Source organism: Homo sapiens, chromosome 3 (assembly GCF_000001405.40).
Source record: "Homo sapiens chromosome 3, GRCh38.p14 Primary Assembly".
Classification (NCBI taxonomy): Eukaryota; Metazoa; Chordata; class Mammalia; order Primates; family Hominidae; genus Homo; species Homo sapiens.
This window is the reverse complement of record NC_000003.12, coordinates 157,187,247-157,204,288: the sequence shown is the minus strand read 5'-3', so window position 1 is coordinate 157,204,288 and position 17,042 is coordinate 157,187,247. Positions and strand designations below refer to the sequence as shown.

The window sequence follows — 17,042 nt, the reverse complement described above, 5'->3', positions numbered from 1 at the left end:
AGAAAGTACAGAATAGATGACAAAACTGAAATTAAAGGTCCATCTCTACAAAAAATTTAAAAAATTAGTAGGGCACGGTAGCATGCACGTGTAGTCCTGGCTACTGAGGAGACTACGTGGAGGCTGAGGTGGGAGGATCATTTGAGCCCAGGAGTTGAAGGTTACAACTCTATGATCACACCACTGCATTCCACCCTGGGCAACTGAGTGAAACTCAGTCTCTATTTTTAAAAAAATAGAATTAGCATAATTTTCATGTTCACATCTTGAAATGTTTAAATACTCAATTGTCATTGTCATTTATACATATGCACATATTAATACTATATACCTAGAAAAATGAGTGTGTATATGTGTGTTTAGCATATTCAATGAAATGCCTAGGTTCTAGTCTTACTTCTATAGCCATATATCATGTGAATTTGGGCAAACCACGTAATCTCTTTCATCCTAGTTTTCTTATCTGTAAATTGAGGATAATAAACCCATGGTTATTGACTTTGAAAACTGTATGTGAGGCTCACTAAAATTAATAAAGCAGGCAGGGTGCAGTGGCTGATGCCTATAATCCCAGCACTTTGGGAGGGCAAGGTGGGAGGATCACTTGAGACCAGGACTTCGAGACCAGCCTAGGCAACATGGCAAGACCCCTCTACAAAAATTTTTTTTAAAAAAACTAGACAGGTGTGGTGGCACATGCCTGCAGTCCCAGCTACTTGGGAGGCTGAGGTGGGAGGATCGCTTGAGTCTGGGACGTCAAGGCTGCAGTGAGCCATGATTGCCCCACTGCACTCCAGCGTGGGCAACAGAGTGAAACTCTGTCTCAAAATAAATAAATAAATACAATACAATAATGCAATACAATACAATCAACAAATCCCTATGTGAGGTAGTAACCTAATTTCTTATCCTTAAGGCTTTATATGATCACATGTCCAAAGTGAAAGAATAGAACCATATCTGTGACCAGTAAGAAGAAAAATGCTTAATGGTGTCTTATTTATTGAATGACCACAGCTAGTTTGGTTGCACTCAAATCAATCAACTCTATGATCTAAACAGAGAGAGAAAGACGTTACAAATAACCCCAGACCACAATTATACAAAAGCAAAATCCACTCTCAATTCTCCAGAGATGATTTACCCCCACAGAGCCAAAAGAGCAGGTAGGTCTAACCAAAGCTGTTCTTGCCAGGGACCCAGAGAGAGCCTTGTTTGCACAGCCTCATCCTTGAGCCAACATTCCCAGACTCTTCCTAGAGCATTGCCTAGATCTAGACTCTGCCTAGATCATAGGATGATCAAGTGCTGACTGTGTCCTTGTTATATTAAAGGGTCTTTCATGATTCTCTGAGGATCCTTCCACCAAAGCACTACCCAAAATCCAAACCAGCTAAAAGACCAAAGGATACTCCAAATGCTCCAATTCCTATTCGGCCTCTCTCTAGTGGGCATGAAATTTAACCACTCTGTGCCCCAATTTGCCTATAAAATGGGTGCAACCACAATACCTACCTCATTAGGTTATTGTGAAGATCAAATGAATTAATACAAGCAGAGCATGCAGAACAGTACCTGGCATATAAGCATTTAATCTATGTTGGCTGCTGCTCTCAAGGCCACTATTATTATAATCATACTAATGTGCTTGTGCATGGCACTTACTTATGGACAAATGATATGTCTCTCTCACAGCTACTTCATTTGCTAAGACTGAAGCCTGATCCTTTAAATCCTCTGTCTATCAATGATTAAAATACGGTCCTATATTAGCTTCCTAACATTACATATATGCTTTAATTTTTCAATGGCAAAATAGTAAATTATAACTATGGGTGCTATTTGGGTTTTTTGTTTGGTTGGTTGGTTGGTTGGTTTTGAGACAAGGTCTCGCTCTGTCACCCAGGTTGGAGTGCCGTGGTGCAATGTCGGCTCACTGCAAACTCTGCCTCCTGGCTTTAAGTGATTCTCCCACCTCAACCTCCCCGAGGAGCTGGGACTACAGGCATGCACCACCATGCCTGGTAATTTTTTGTATTTTTAGTAGATATGGGATTTCACCATGTTGGTTAGGATGGTCTTGAGCTCCTGGCTTCAAGTGATCCACCTGCCTCGGCCTCCCAAAGTACTGGGATTACAGGTGTGAGCCACTGTGCCCAGCTTACGGGTACTATTTGATGGCATACTAGTCAAACCAAGCAACAACTCTGTTTTATAGCCATATAAGCAGATGACCCTGGAATAAAAGCTGGGACTTACGCACATTTCAAGCTGTTAAACATTTTTTATCATATTCCAATTTCGTTTCACTCTGAAAGCAGAAGTGGCTATCATATGATTGACTCAAAACTATTTGGTATATCACCCTAAGATAAATACCAGAAGGCACCAAAACTGTTTTGAATGAGGACTAAAGATGACATTTGGCCACTAGATGGCATTTAAATTATGTAGCAGGCTTTAGCTCACACTTCAGCTATTTAAAAGCTTAATTGGTTTGCATTTAGCCCAAGCACTGGCGATTCATGTATTTTCATGCTGTGGGAATTCTCGGAAGTTGGCTGAATTGAGACTTAGGAATATCCACAGCAGGTTTTACAGTGACAGACATAAAATCCTTTTGGAGTTATGAAATGAGATTAGCAATTTTAAATTCTTGCCTGAAATCTTCAGATCAGTTTTTTTCTTTTTGGAAGTAAATTATTGAGGGTAATATTGAGAGACTGGATAACTTACATCTTTTCAATCCATTTCTGTGCAACATGAAGTCTTAATAAGCACAGAGCAGCATAATTCATGGGCAGCTTGTCTCAGTTGGCCACGGGTACCTCTCAGCGTCTACCTTTTTACTGGGTCCAGCAATCTAATCATATCTACCATTTCCTTTTCAATTAATTCCTAGGAAAGACCAGCCGTGGACTAGTACAACATCCCAGAGGCGAACAGAATCAAATCTAATCCCCACTGAATAATAATTTGTTAAAAAACTGCTATAAAGAAGGGAGAACAGTCCAGTCAGTTATTGTTTTTCATTTCCCACAAGGAAATTAACGGTAAAACATGTTAAATTTCAACTGTAAGATTTTAAGGTAGCCATGAAGATGAAATGAAATAGATACTAAAGTAAACCACAAAATAAATGTGCATGTGTGTTCTTTCCATATAGTAGAAGAGATACTCTTCTATTTGGCGAGATTTTGCAGAGACACCAAGAATATAGTAAGTGATGCTTTCTAACTCTTTTTGTAGGTTTCAGGGGGCTTTCTTTTGGTCAAAGCCTATGGTGCTGAATTCAGCTTGTCCACTAGGCAACCCTAATATATGCTAAGTATCCTTTAACTAGTCAAGCATTTATTCCCATGATAAAATAAACTATGATGTATTTAATTATACATGTCATTGAAGAAGTCCTCTTTTAAAGAAAAACCATGAAGTGATTACCTGAAAAGCATAATAACAAATTGATTACCTAATAAGATGGAAAACTGAACATGAGCTTTTGTCTCCACTCCATTCCAACGCTCTCTCAAAAGATAGAAGAGGAAAGTAAAAGTTATAAATCCACACAGAAATAAAGAGTGGAAGAAGAGCCGGGCGCGGTGGCTCATGCCTGTAATCCCAGCACTTTGGAGGCCGAGGCGGGTGGATCACGAGGTCAGGAGATCGAGACCATCCTGGCTAACACAGTGAAACCCTGCCTCTACTAAAAATGCAAAAAATTAGCTGGGCGTGGTGGCACACGCCTGTACTCCCAGCTACTTGGGAGACTGAGGCAGGAGAATCACTTGAACCCGGGAGGTGGAGGTTGCAATGAGCCGAGATCATGCCACTGCACTCCAGCCTGGCAACAGAGCAAGACTCTGTCTCAAAAAAAAAAAAAAAGAGTGGAAGAAGAAAACAACAGCAGACCAGATCACAGTTTCAGGAGGTTGGCAGCCACTGGCTGAGTGGGACTGACTAGGAAAACACTGAAACCCACACAACAACAGAGGGGAGACCAGCAAGAAGCCAGCCTACCTCACCTCAGAACCCTGGGAGTCAGACATCAAAAGTTCTTCCAGGTGCCTGGAAAAGTAGGAGCCAGGGTGAACTGAAAAGAGAATAAAAATTGGGGTAATCTGCATACTGGCCTGCAAGACCTCCCAGCCTTTTTCCCCTTCATTTCCCAGAAATCTGCTCCCTACAAAACTGGCGATGAAAAGATCCTACTATGACACTAACATTTGGCAAGGCTGCCAGAAATTGGCTCGCTCCTTGCTTGCTAATCCTCCAGGGAAGCTTACTATTCACCAGGCTTTCCCACTTCCCACCACAATCAGCTTTCCATCCTCAGTCTTAAATATAAACAGACAACCAAAGATCAACGACATTATAGGAAAGCCTCCAACTTTCCTATATAGGAAAGCCTCCAACTTTCCTATATAGGAAAGCCTCCAACTTTCCTATATAGGAAAGCCTCCAACTTTCCTATATAGGAAAGCCTCCAACTTTCCTATATAGGAAAGCCTCTTGGTATAAGAGGCATATACCAAGGCAAAAAAATGTGGATGGGGGAACTTAGAGGAACCAGAGACAAAAGAAGAAAATTTCAAAGAAACTGCAATTAGTATCCTCTGAAAAAGAAGAAAAGCTGTTGGACCCATGAAACATTAAAAAGGTGCTATCAGGAAGGGTTTGTTGTTGTTTTTGTTGTTTTAGAGACAAGGTCTTGCTATGTTTCCCAGCCTGGCCTTGAATTCCTAGGCTCAAGAGATCTTCTGAGCCTCCTGAGTAGCTTGGACTACAGGCATGTGCCACTGTGCCCAGGTTTTTGTTGTTGTTTGTTTGTTTTGTTTTGTTTTGTTTCATTTTGTTTTGTTTCATTTTGTTTTGCTTTTTTGAGACGGAGTCTCACTCTGTCGCCCAGGCTGGAGTTCAGTGGTGCAATCTCGGCTCACTACAACCTCCGCCTCACGGGTTCAAGTGATTCTTCTGGCTCAGCCTTCCAAGTAGCTGGGACTACAGGCACGCACCACCACGCCTGGCTAATTTTTGTATTTTTAGTAGAGATGGGGTTTCACCATATTGGCCAGGCTAGTCTGGAACTCCTGACCTTATGATCCACCCGCCTTGGCCTCCCAAAGTGCTGGGATTACAGGTGTGAGCCACCACGCCCAGGCTTTTTTTAAAAAAAAAAAAAAAAAAAAAAACAAAAGAAACAGAGAATGAGAAGGAACTCTTGGAAATTAAAAATATAACAAGAATGAAAACTTCAGTAGAAAGATTAGAAGACAGCTGGGTATGGTGGTTTATACCTATAATCCCAACAGTTTGGGAGGCCAAGGCAGGTAGATTGCTCAAGCCCAGGAGTTTGAGACCAGACTGGGCAACATGGCAAAATACAGTTTCTACAAAAAAGACAAAAATTAGCCAGATGTGGTGGCACACGTCTGTAGTCCCAACTACTTGGGAGGCTGAGGTGGGAGGATCACCTGAGCCCAGAAGGCAGAGGTTGCAGTGAGCTGAGATTGCACCACTGCACTCCAGCCTGGGCCAGGCCACAGAGTTAGACAGTGTCTAAAAAAAAAAAAAAAAAAAAAAAAAAAAAAAAAAAAAAAAAAAAAAAAAAATATGGTTAGAAGAAAAGTTTCAGAAAGTCTCAAAAAAAGCAGAAGGAGAAAATAGAAAAATGATGGAAATATTTAGGAGGTAAATCCAGGATCCTCAACATTAGACTAAAGAGGATCTGGAAAAATAAATGAGAATAAATCAAATGTTCTTGTATTATTAAAGAAATAATACAAGAACATTATTTCTTTAATAATACAAAAATATTTCCCCCAAACTGAAAGAAATAAGTTTCCAAATTGAAAGCATCAACCTAGTACCCAGCTTCCTGAATTAAAATTAAAAAAAATGACCGAAGGCATACCACTGCACAATTTTAGAACATGAGGGATACATAATCCTAAAAACCTTCAGAGGGAAGAGGGAAAGGTTATAGACATGAAACAAGTAATAAGAATGTACTGGGGCCGGGCATGGTGGCTCATGTCTGTAATCCCAGCACTTTGGGAGGCAGAGGCAGGCAGATCACCTGTGGTCAGGAGTTCGAGACCAGCCTGGCCAACATGGTGAAACCTTGTCTCTACTAAAAATACAAAAATTAACTGGGTGCAGTGGCACATGCCTGTAATCCCAGCCACTCGGGAGGCTGAGGCAGGAGAATCGCTTGAACCCAGGAGGCAGAGGTTGCAGTGAACCAAGATCGTGCTACTGCCCTCCAGCCTGGGCAACAGAGTGAGACTTTGTCTCAAAAAAAAAAAAAAAAAAAGAATGTATTGGATGTCTAATCCACACTGAACTAGAAGTCAACAGAACAGTACCTGCAAAATGTTAAGAGTAAGTTACATTTACACCTAGAATTCTATACCCAAATAAACTCCCAGCTGAATGTGAGGGTAGCATATTTTGAGGCATGCACGTTCTCAAAAAATTTACCTCCAATGCACCCTCCTGCAAGAAGCTACTGAAGGATGTTTTTTTACCAAAACAAAAGAACAACAAATCAAGACAGAGAAAGACCTGGGATCCAGTTCACATGGACTCTAATCTAGGAGGGAGATGATGTGTGACGCCAAGTGTCCAGAGGAAACTGTGCAGTGGGCATATAATACAAAGAAGACTTTTGGGAGCGGCATCTCCAAGAAAAACAAACAGAACTGATAGATTTCTCATTTATTTGACCTTGCTGAGAAAGGAGTTTACTCTTCCCTTGGAAATGATGGGCATGAATTAGTGATAGATACATGGAAAACAAAGCAAATTTCAAAAATAAGATAATGTATAATCCTTGATTAAATCTTGGATTAAAAATTTTTAGGGCAGGCGCGGTGGCTCACATCCATAATCCCAGCACTTTGGGAGGCTGAGACAGGCAGATCACTTGAGTTCAGGAGTTCAAGATCAGGCTGGCCATCTGATGGTGAAACCCCATCTCTACTAAAAATACAAAAAAATTAACTGGGCGTACTGGTGGGCACCTGTAATCCCAGCTACTTGGGAGGCTGGAGCAGGAAAATCACTTGATCTAGGGAAGTGGAGGTTGCAGCGAGCTGAGATCCCACCACTGCACTCTGGCCTGGGAGACAGAGTGAAATTCCACCTCAAAAAAAAAAAAAATTAACTACAAAGGCATTACTGTGACAGTTGAGGAAATTTGAATAGGGAATATTCACTAGAAAATATTTTATGTTAATTTTTTTAACTTTTATTTTAGGTTGAGTGGTACATATGCAGGTTTGTTATATAGGTAAATTACATGTACTCAGTAGGTAGTTTTTTGATCCTCACTCTCCTCCCACCCTCCCCCATCAAGTAGACCCCAGTGTCTCTTGTTCCCTTCTTTGTATCCATGTGTATTCAATGTTTAGTTCCCACTTACAAGTGTGAACATACAGTATTTGATTTTCTGTTCCTTAGGCTAATGGCCTCTTGCTCCATCCACGTTGCTGCAAAGAACATGATCTCATTCTTTTTTATGGCCGTGTATTATCCCATGGTGTACATGAACATTTTCTTTATTCAGTCTACTGTTGATGAGCATATAGGTTGATTCCATGTCTTTGCTATTGTGAATAGTGCTGTGGTGAACATTCATGTGCATGTGTCTTTATAGTACAGTAATTTATATTACTTTGGGTATATATACCCAATAATGGGATTGCTGGGTCGAATAGTAATTGTTTTGAGTTCTTTGAGAAATCACCACACTGCTTTCCACAATGGCTGAACTAATTTGCATTCCCACCAGCAAGCAGTGTATATGTGTCCCCTTTTCTCTGAAACCATGCCAGTATCTGTTATTTTTTGACTTTTTTTTTTTTACTTTTTTTTTGGAATTTTCTTTTTTTAATTTTATAGTAATTTCTGGGGTACATGTCCAGGATATGCAAGTTTATTACAGAGGTAAACATGTGCCATGGTGGTTTCCTGTACCTATCAATCCATCACCTAAGTATTAAGCCCCACATGCATTAGCTATTTTTCCTCATGCTCTCCTTGACCCCATCCCCACTCTGACAGGTCCTAGTTTGTGTTGTTCCCCTCCCTGTGTCCATGTGTTCTTATTGTTCAGCTGTCACTTATGAGTCAGAACATGTGGTGTTTGGTTTTCTGTTACTGTATTGGTTTGCTGAGGATAATGGCTTCCAGCTCCATCCATTTCCCTGCAAAGGACTTGATCTCATTGCTTTTTATGGCTGCATAGTATCCCATGGTGTATTCTAACTGGTGTGAGATGGTATCTTATTGTGGTTTTGATTTGCATTTTTCTAATCACTAGTAATATTGAGCATTTTTTCATATGCTTGTTGGCCATGTGTATGTCTTCTTTCGAAAAGTGTCTGTTCAGGTTCTTTGCCCACTTTTTGATCAGGTTGTTTGGTTTTTGCTTGCTAATTTGTTTAAGTCCTTATAGATTCTGGATATTAGACCTTTGTCAAATACATAGTTTGCAAATATTTTCTCTCATTCTGAAGGTTAACTGCTTAGTCTATTGATAATTTCTTTTGCTCTGCAGAAGCTCTTTAGCTTAACTAGTTTCATTTGTCAATTTTTGTTTTTGTTACAATTGCCTTTGGTGTCTTCATTGTGAAATCTTTGCCAGGTCCTATGTCCAGGATGGTATTTCCCAGGTTATCTTCCAGGGTTTTTATATTTTTAGGTTTCATATTTAAGTCTTTAATCTATGTTCAGTTTATTTTTGTATATGATGTAAGAAAGGGGTTCAGTTTGAATTTTCCGCATATGGCTAGCCAGTTATCCAAGCACCATTTATTGAATAGGGAGTCTTTTCTCCATTGCTTGTTTTTGTCAGTTTTATCAAAGATCAGATGGTTGTAGATGTGCGGCCTTATTTCTGAGCTCTCTATTATGTTCCACTGGTCTATGTGTCTGTTTTTGTACCAGCATCATGCTATTTTGTTTACTGTAGCCTTGTAGTAAAGTTTGGAGACAGGTAATGTGATGCTTCCAGCTTTGTTCTTTTTGCTTAGGCTTGCTTGGGCTATGCAGGCTCTTTTTTGATTCCAAATGAATTTTAAAATCTTTTTTTCTAATTCTGTGAAGACTATCATTGGTAATTTGATAGGAATAGCATTGAACCTGTAAATTTCTTTGGGCAGTATGGCAATTTAACAATATCAATTCTTCCTACTATGAGCATGGAATGTTTTTCTACTTGTTTATCTCTGATTTTGTTGAGCAGTGTTCTGTAATTCTCACTGTAGAGATCTTTCATCTCTCTGATTAGCTGTATTCCTAGGTATTTCATGCTTTTTGCGGCAATTGTGAATGGAGTTGTGTTCTTGATTTGGCTCTCAGCTTGGATGTTGTTGGTGTATTGGAATGTTACTGATTTTTGTATGTTAATTTTGTATCCAGAAACTTTGCTGAAGTTGTTTATCAGATCTAGGAGCTTTTGGGCAGAGACTATGGGGTTTTCTAGGTATAGAATCATGTCATCTTCAAACAGGGATAGTTTGACTTCCTCTCTGGATGCCTTTTATTTCTTTCTCTTGCCTGATTGCTCTGCTAGAACTTTAAATACTATATCGAATAGGAGTGGTGAGAGAGGACACCCTTGTCTTGTTCTGTTTCTCAAGGGGAATGCTTCCAGCTTTTGCCCATTCAGTACAATCTTGACTTGGGGTTTGTTAAAGATGGCTCTTATTATTTTGAGATATGCTTCTTCCATGCCTAATTTTTTGAGGGTTTTTAACATGAAGGCATGTTGAACTTTACTGAAAGACTTCTTCATCTATTGAGATGATTATGTGGTTTTTGTTTTCAATTCTGCTTCTGCTGTAAATCAAAAGGTATCTGAGACAAGTCTCAATCAAGTTAGAAAGTTTATTTTGCCAAAACAAACTGTCTCTCAGACCACAGTGCAATCAAACTAGAACTCAGGATTAAGAAACTCACTCAAAACTGCTCATCTACATGGAAACTGAACAACCTGCTCCTGAATGACTACTGGGTACATAACGAAATGAAGGCAGAAATAAAGATGTTATTTGAAACCAATGAGAACAAAGACACAACATACCAGAATCTCTGGGACACATTTAAAGCAGTGTGTAGAGGAAAATTTATAGCACTTAATGCCCACAAGAGAAAGCAGGAAAGATCTAAAATTGATGCCGTAACATCACAATTAAAAGAACTAGAGAAGCAAGAGCAAACACATTCAAAAGCTAGCAGAAGGCAAGAAATAACTAAGATCAGAGCAGAACTGAAGGAGACAGAGACACAAAAAACCCTTCAAAAAATCAATGAATCCAGGAGCTGGTTTTTTGAAAAGATCAACAAAATTGATCTAATAAAGAAGAAAAGAGAGAAGAATCAAAGAGATGCAATAAAAAATGATAAAGGGGTTATCACCACCGATCCCACAGAAATACAAACTACCATCAGAGAATACTATAAACACCTCTACACAAATAAACTAGAAAATCTAGAAGAAATGGATAAATTCCTGGACACATACACCCTCCCAAGACTAAACCAGGAAGAAGTTGAATCTCTGAATAGACCAATAACAGGCTGTGAAATTGAGGCAATAATTAATAGCCTACCAACCAAAAAAAGTCCAGGACCAGACAGACTCACAGCCAAATTCTACCAGATGTACAAGGAAGAGCTTTTACCATTCCTTCTGAAACTATCCCAATTGACAGAAAAAGAGGGAATCCTCCCTAACTCATTTGATGAGGCCAGCATCATCCTGATACCAAAGCCTGGCAGAGACACAACAAAAAAAGAGAATTTTAGACCAATATCCCTGATGAACATTGATGCAGAAATCCTTGATAAAATACTGGCAAACCGAATGCAGCAGCACATCAAGAAGCTTATCCACAGTGATCAAGTGGGCTTCATCCCTGGGATGCAAAGCTGGTTCAACATACGCAAATCAATAAATGTAATCCATCATATAAACAGAACCAAAGACAAAAAACACATTATTATCTCAATAGATGCAGAAAAGGCCTTCGACGAAATTCAACAACGCTTCATGCTAAAAACTCTCAATAAATTAGGTATTGATGGGACGTATCTCAAAATAATAAGAGCTATTTATGACAAACCCACAGCCAATATCATACTGAATGGGCAAAAACTGGAAACATTCCCTTTGAAAACTTCCACAAGATAGGGATGCCCTCTCTCACCACTCCTATTCAACATAGTGTTGGAAGTTCTGGCCAGGGCAATCAGGCAGGAGAAAGAAATAAAGGGTATTCAATTAGGAAAAGGGGAAGTCAAATTGTCCCTGTTTGCAGATGACATGATTGTATATTTAGAAAACCCCATCGTCTCAGCCCAAAATCTCCTTAAGCTGATAAGCAACTTCAGCAAAGTCTCAGGATACAATATCAATGTGCAAAAATCACAGGCATTCCTATACACCAATAACAGACAAACAGAGAGCCAAATCATGAGTGAACTCCCATTCACAATTGTTTCAAAGAGAATAAAATACCTAGGAATCCAACTTACACGGGATGTGAAGGACCTCTTCAGGGAAAACTACAAACCACTGCTCAACGAAATAAAAGAGGACACAAACAAATGGAAGAACATTCCATGCTCATGGATAGGAAGAATCAATATCGTGAAAATGGCCATACTGCCCAAGGTAATTTATAGATTCAATGCCATCCCCATCAAGCTACCAATGACTTTCTTCACAGAATTGGAAAAAACTACTTTAAATTTCATATGGAACCAAAAAAGAGCCTGCATTGCCAAGACAATCCTAAGCCAAAAGAACAAAGCTGGAGGCATCACGCTACCTGACTTCAAACTATACTACAAGGCTACAGCAACCAAAACAGCATGGTACTGGTACCAAAAAAGAGATATAGACCAATGGAACAGAACAGAGCCCTCAGATATGATACCACACATCTATAACCATCTGATCTTTGCAAACTTGACAAAAACAAGAAATGGGGAAAGGATTCCTTATTTAATAAATGGTGCTTGGAAAACTGGCTAACTATATGTAGAAAGCTGAAACTGGATCCCTTCCTTACACCTTATACAAAAATTAATTCAAGATGGATTAAAGACTTAAATGTTAGACCTAAAACCATAAAAACCCTAGAAGAAAACCTAGGCAGTACCATTCAGGACATAGGCAAGGGCATGGACTTCATGTCTACAACACCAAAAGCAATGGCAACAAAAGCCAAAACTGACCAATAGGATCTAATTAAACTAAAGAGCTTCTGCACAGCAAAAGAAACTACCATCAGAGTGAACAGGCAACCTATAGAATGGGAGAAAATTTTTGAAATCTACCCATCTGACAAAGGGCTAATATCCAGAATCTACAAAGAACTCAAACAAATTTACAAGAAGAAAACCCCATCAAAATCAAAAAGTGGGCGAAGGATATGAACAGACACTTCTCAAAAGAAGACATTTATGCAGCCAACAGACACATGGAAAAATGCTCATCATCACTGGCCATCAGAGAAACACAAATCAAAACCACAATGAGATACCATCTCATACCAGTTAGAATGGTGATCCTTAAAACGTCAGGAAACAACAGGTGCTGGAGAGGATATTGGAGAAACAGGAACACTTTTACACTTTTGGTGGGAGTGTAAACTAGTTCAACCATTGTGGAAGACAGTGTGGCGATTCCTCAAGGATCTAGAACTAGAAATACCATTTGACCCAGCCATCCCATTACTGGGTATATACCCAAAGGATTATAAATCATGCTGCTATAAAGACACGTGCACACGTATGTTTATGGCGGCACTATTCACAATAGCAAAGACTTGGAACCAACCCAAATGTCCATCAATGATAGACTGGATTAAGAAAATGTGGCACATTACACCATGGAATACTATGCAGCCATAAAAAAGGATGAGTTCATGTCCTTTGTAGAGTCATGGATGAAGCTGGAAATCATCATTCTTAGCAAACTATCACAAGGACAGAAAACCAAACACTACATGTTCTCACTCATTGGTGGGAATTGAACAATGAGAACACTTGGACACAGGAAGGGGAACATCACACACTGGTGCCTGTCGTGGGGTGGGCGGAGGGGGGAGGGACAGCATTAGGAGATATACCTAATGTAAATGAAGAGTTAATGGGTGCAGAACACCAGTATGGCACATGTATACATATGTAACAGACCTGCACTTTGTGCACACGTACCCTAGAACTTAAATAATAAAAAAAAAAGAAAGAAAGTAAGTTTATCTTGCCAAGGTAAAGGACTTGCCCCTGACACAGCCTCCAGAGGTCCTGACCACATGTCCCCAAGGTTGTCAGGGCACAGCCTCGGTTTATACATTTTAGGGAGATATGAGACATCAATCAATTTATGTAAAATGTACATTTGTTCAGGCTAGAAAGGCAAGACAACTCAAAGCACGGAGGGGATTTCCAGGTCATAGGTAGATAAGAGACAACTGTTTGCATTCTTTTGAGTTTCTGATTAGCCTTTCACTGAATGCACAATTTACAGTAATAGTCACTTATGCCTTAGTCTGGCTTAGTGAAATAATAGGGCAAATGAAGCAATCAGATATGCATTTATCTCACAAGAGCAGAAGGATGACTTTGAGTTCTGCCTGCCCTTTGTCTACAAGGAATTTCCCTGTGGGCAAATTTTGAGGGAGATTTGCAGCTTTTTTATCTTTGTAGCTATCTTATTTAGGAATAGAATAGGAGGCAGGTTTTCCCTACGCCCTTCCCAGCTTGACTCTTCCCTTTGGCTTAGTGATTTTGGGGCCCTGAGATTTATTTTCCTTTCACAATGTGATGAATCATGCTTATTGATTTGCATATGCTGAGCCAACTTTGCAACTTCACAGCTTTTTGATGTGCTTCTAGATTCAGTCTGCTGTATTTTGTTGAGGATTTTGGCATCTATGCTCATCAAGGATGTTGGCCTGAAGTTTTCTTTTCTTCTTGTGTCTTTGCTTTGTTTTAGTATCAGGATAATGCTAGCCTTATAGAGTGAGTTAGAGAGAAGACCCTCCTCAATTTTTTGGAATGGTTTCAATAGGAATGATATCCGCTCTTCTTTATACATCTGGTAGAATTCAGCTGTGAATCTATATCTAGTCCTGGGCTTTTCTTTTTGGTAGGCTTTTTATTACTGATTCAATTTCAGAACTCATTATTGGTCTGTTCAGGGATTCAATTTCTTTAATTTTGGGAGGTTGTGTTTTTCCATCAATTTATCCATTTCTTCTAAGCTTTCTGCTTTGTGTGCACAGAGATGTTTGAAGTAGTCCCCGAGGGTTTTTTCTATTTCTGTGGGGTTGGTGGTAACATCTCCTTTGTCATTTCTGATTGTGTTTATTTGGATCTCCCTTTTTTTATTAGTCTAGATAGCAGTCTATCTTATTTATTATTTCAAAAAACCAACTCCTGGACTCATTGTTTGTTTTTACTTTATTTTTTGCATTTTGATTTCCTTCATTTCAGCTCTGATTTTGGTTATTTCTTGTCTTCTGCTAGCTTTAGGGTTGGTTTGCTCTTCTTTCTCTAGTTCCTCAAGGTGTGATGGTAGGTTGTTAATTTGAGATCTCTCTAACTTTGATGTGGGCATTTAGCATTATAAACTTCCCACTTAACACTGCTTTAGCTGCATCCCTGACATTCTGGTATGTTGTATCTTCTCTCTCATTCATTTCAAAGAATTTCTTGATTTCTGCCTTAATTTCATTGTTCACCCAAGTCATTCAGGAGCACATTGTTTAATTTCCATGTAATCATATAGTTTTTTTTTGAGTGATTTATTTTCTTTCTTTCCTTTCTTTCTTTCCTTCCTTCCGTCCTTTCTTTCTTTTCTTTCTTTCTTTCCTTCCTTCCTTCTTTTGTTCTTTCTTTCTTTTTTTAGAGATGAGGTCTCAATATGCTGTCCAGGTTAGTTGTGAATTCCTGGGTTTAAGCGATCCTCCCGCCTCAGCCTCCCAAAGTGCTGGGATTATAGGCATGAGCTAGTGCACCTGCCTGTGATTTTCTTAGTATTGATTTCTGTTTTTATTGCACTGTGATCCAAGAGTGCTGTGATCCAAATTTTGGATTTTGTGAATTTGCTGAAGATGGTTTCTTGGCCAATTGTATGGTCAATGTTAGAGTATGTGCCATATGCAGATGAGAAGAATGCATACTCTGTTGTTTTGAGGTGGTGAGTTGTGTAGATATCTACTAGGTCCATTTGGTCAAGTGTAAAGTTCGGGTCCTCAATATCTTTGTTAGTTTTCTTCCCCACTGAACTAATACTGTCAGTGGGGTGTTGGAGTTTCCAACTATTATTGTGTGGTTATCTAAGTCTCTTCATAGATCTCTAAGAACTTGCTTTATGAATCTGGGTGTTCCTGTGTTGGGTGCATATATATTTAGGATAGTTAGGTCTTCTTGTTGAATTGACCCTTTTATTATTATGTAATGCCCTTTTTAAAAAAATCTTCATTGGTTTAAAGTCTGTTTTGTCTGAAATTAGAATAGCAACCCTTGCTTTTTTCTGTTTTCCATTTGCTTGCTAAATTTTTCTCCATCCCTTTACTTTGAGCCTATAGGTGTCATTGCATGTGACATGAGTCTCTTGAAGACAGCATACCATTGGGTCTTGCTTCTTTATCCAACTTGCCACTCTGTGCCTTTTGATTGAGGCATTTAGCCCATGTACATTCAAGATTAATATTCATATATGCAGATTTGATCCTGTCATCATGTTGTTAGGTGGTTATTTTGCAGACTTGTTTGTGTGGTTGCTTTATAGTGTCAATGATCTGTGTACTTAAGTGTCTTTTTCTAATGGCCAGTAATGGTCTCTTCTTTCCATATGTAGCACTCCCTTAAGGACCTCTTATAAGGCAAGTCTGGTGGTAACAAACATCCTTAATGTTTGCTTGTCTGAAAAGGATATTATTTCTCCCTGGCTTATCTTAGTTATCTTAATCTTAGTTTGGCTGATATGAAGTTTTTAGCTGGAATTTTTTTTAGAATGCTGAATACAGACCCCCAATCTCTTCTGGCTTATAGGGTTTCTGCTGAAAGGTCTGCTGTTAGCCTGATGGGGTTCCCTTTGTAGGTGACCTGCCCCTCCTCTCTAGGTCCTTTAACACTTTTTCATTCATTTCAACCTTGGAGAACCTGAGGACTATGTGTCTTGGGGATGGTTGTCTTGTGCAGTATCTCACAGGGGTTCTCTGCACTTCCTGAGTTTGAATGTTGGCTCCTCTAGCAAAGTTGGGAAAAGTTCCATGGATATATCCTGGAAGATGTTTTACAACTTGCTTCCTTTCTCTCTCTCTTTCAGAGATGCCAATGAGTCACAGATTTCTTCTCTTTATATGATCCCATATTTCTCAGAAGTTTTGTTCATTATTGTTTAATTTTTTTCTTCATTTTTATCTGAGATATTTCGAAGAACAAGTCTTAAGCTCTGAGATCTTTCCTCAAGTTTGTCAATTCTCTGTTAATACTGTAATTATATTCTGGAATTATTTAGGTGACTTTTTCAGCTCCATCAGATCAGTATGGTTCTTCCTTAAAATAGCCGTTTTGTATTTTATCACCTGCATAATTTTATCATATGCCATTGAATCCTTGGATTGAGTTTCAACTTTCTCCTGAATCTTAATTATCTTTATGTCTATCCATATTCTGAATTCTAATTCTGTCACTTCAGCTGTTTCAGCCTGCTTAAGAACCACTGCTGGGGAACTAGTGTGGTCATCTGGAGGTAAGAAGACACTATGGCTTTTTGAGTTGCCACAGTTCCTGTGCTGGTTCTTTCTCATTTGCATAGGCTGACGTTCCTTCAATCTTTGAAGTTGCTGTCCTTTGGATGAGTTTTAATTTTTTTTTGCTTTTATCTTCTTTGATGCCCTTGGGCGTTTGATTGTTATATAAGGTGGGTTAAGTTGACTGTCTTCATTTCTGGAAGATTTTAGGAGACCAAGGATCAGCTCAGCACTTCTGGGCTGCATGCTATAACTCTAGGGGGC

The 17,042-nt window shown here is 39.2% G+C and overlaps 1 long non-coding RNA gene across 1 annotated transcript in view, besides 1 other annotated feature; it reads right to left on the bottom strand.

The window, feature by feature from the left end:
* LOC101928236 (uncharacterized) overlaps nucleotides 1–17,042 on the bottom strand; it is a 220,247-nt gene that overhangs the window by 189,658 nt on the left and 13,547 nt on the right. The gene's annotated exons all lie outside the window — the stretch shown is intronic.
* Nucleotides 2,338–2,387: a silencer, noted in NCBI's record as "silent region_14846". NCBI's record gives its function as "represses an Ori minimal core promoter by ATAC-STARR-seq in GM12878 lymphoblastoid cells {active_cell/tissue: GM12878}" and the evidence as "EXISTENCE:reporter gene assay evidence [ECO:0000049][PMID:35858748]".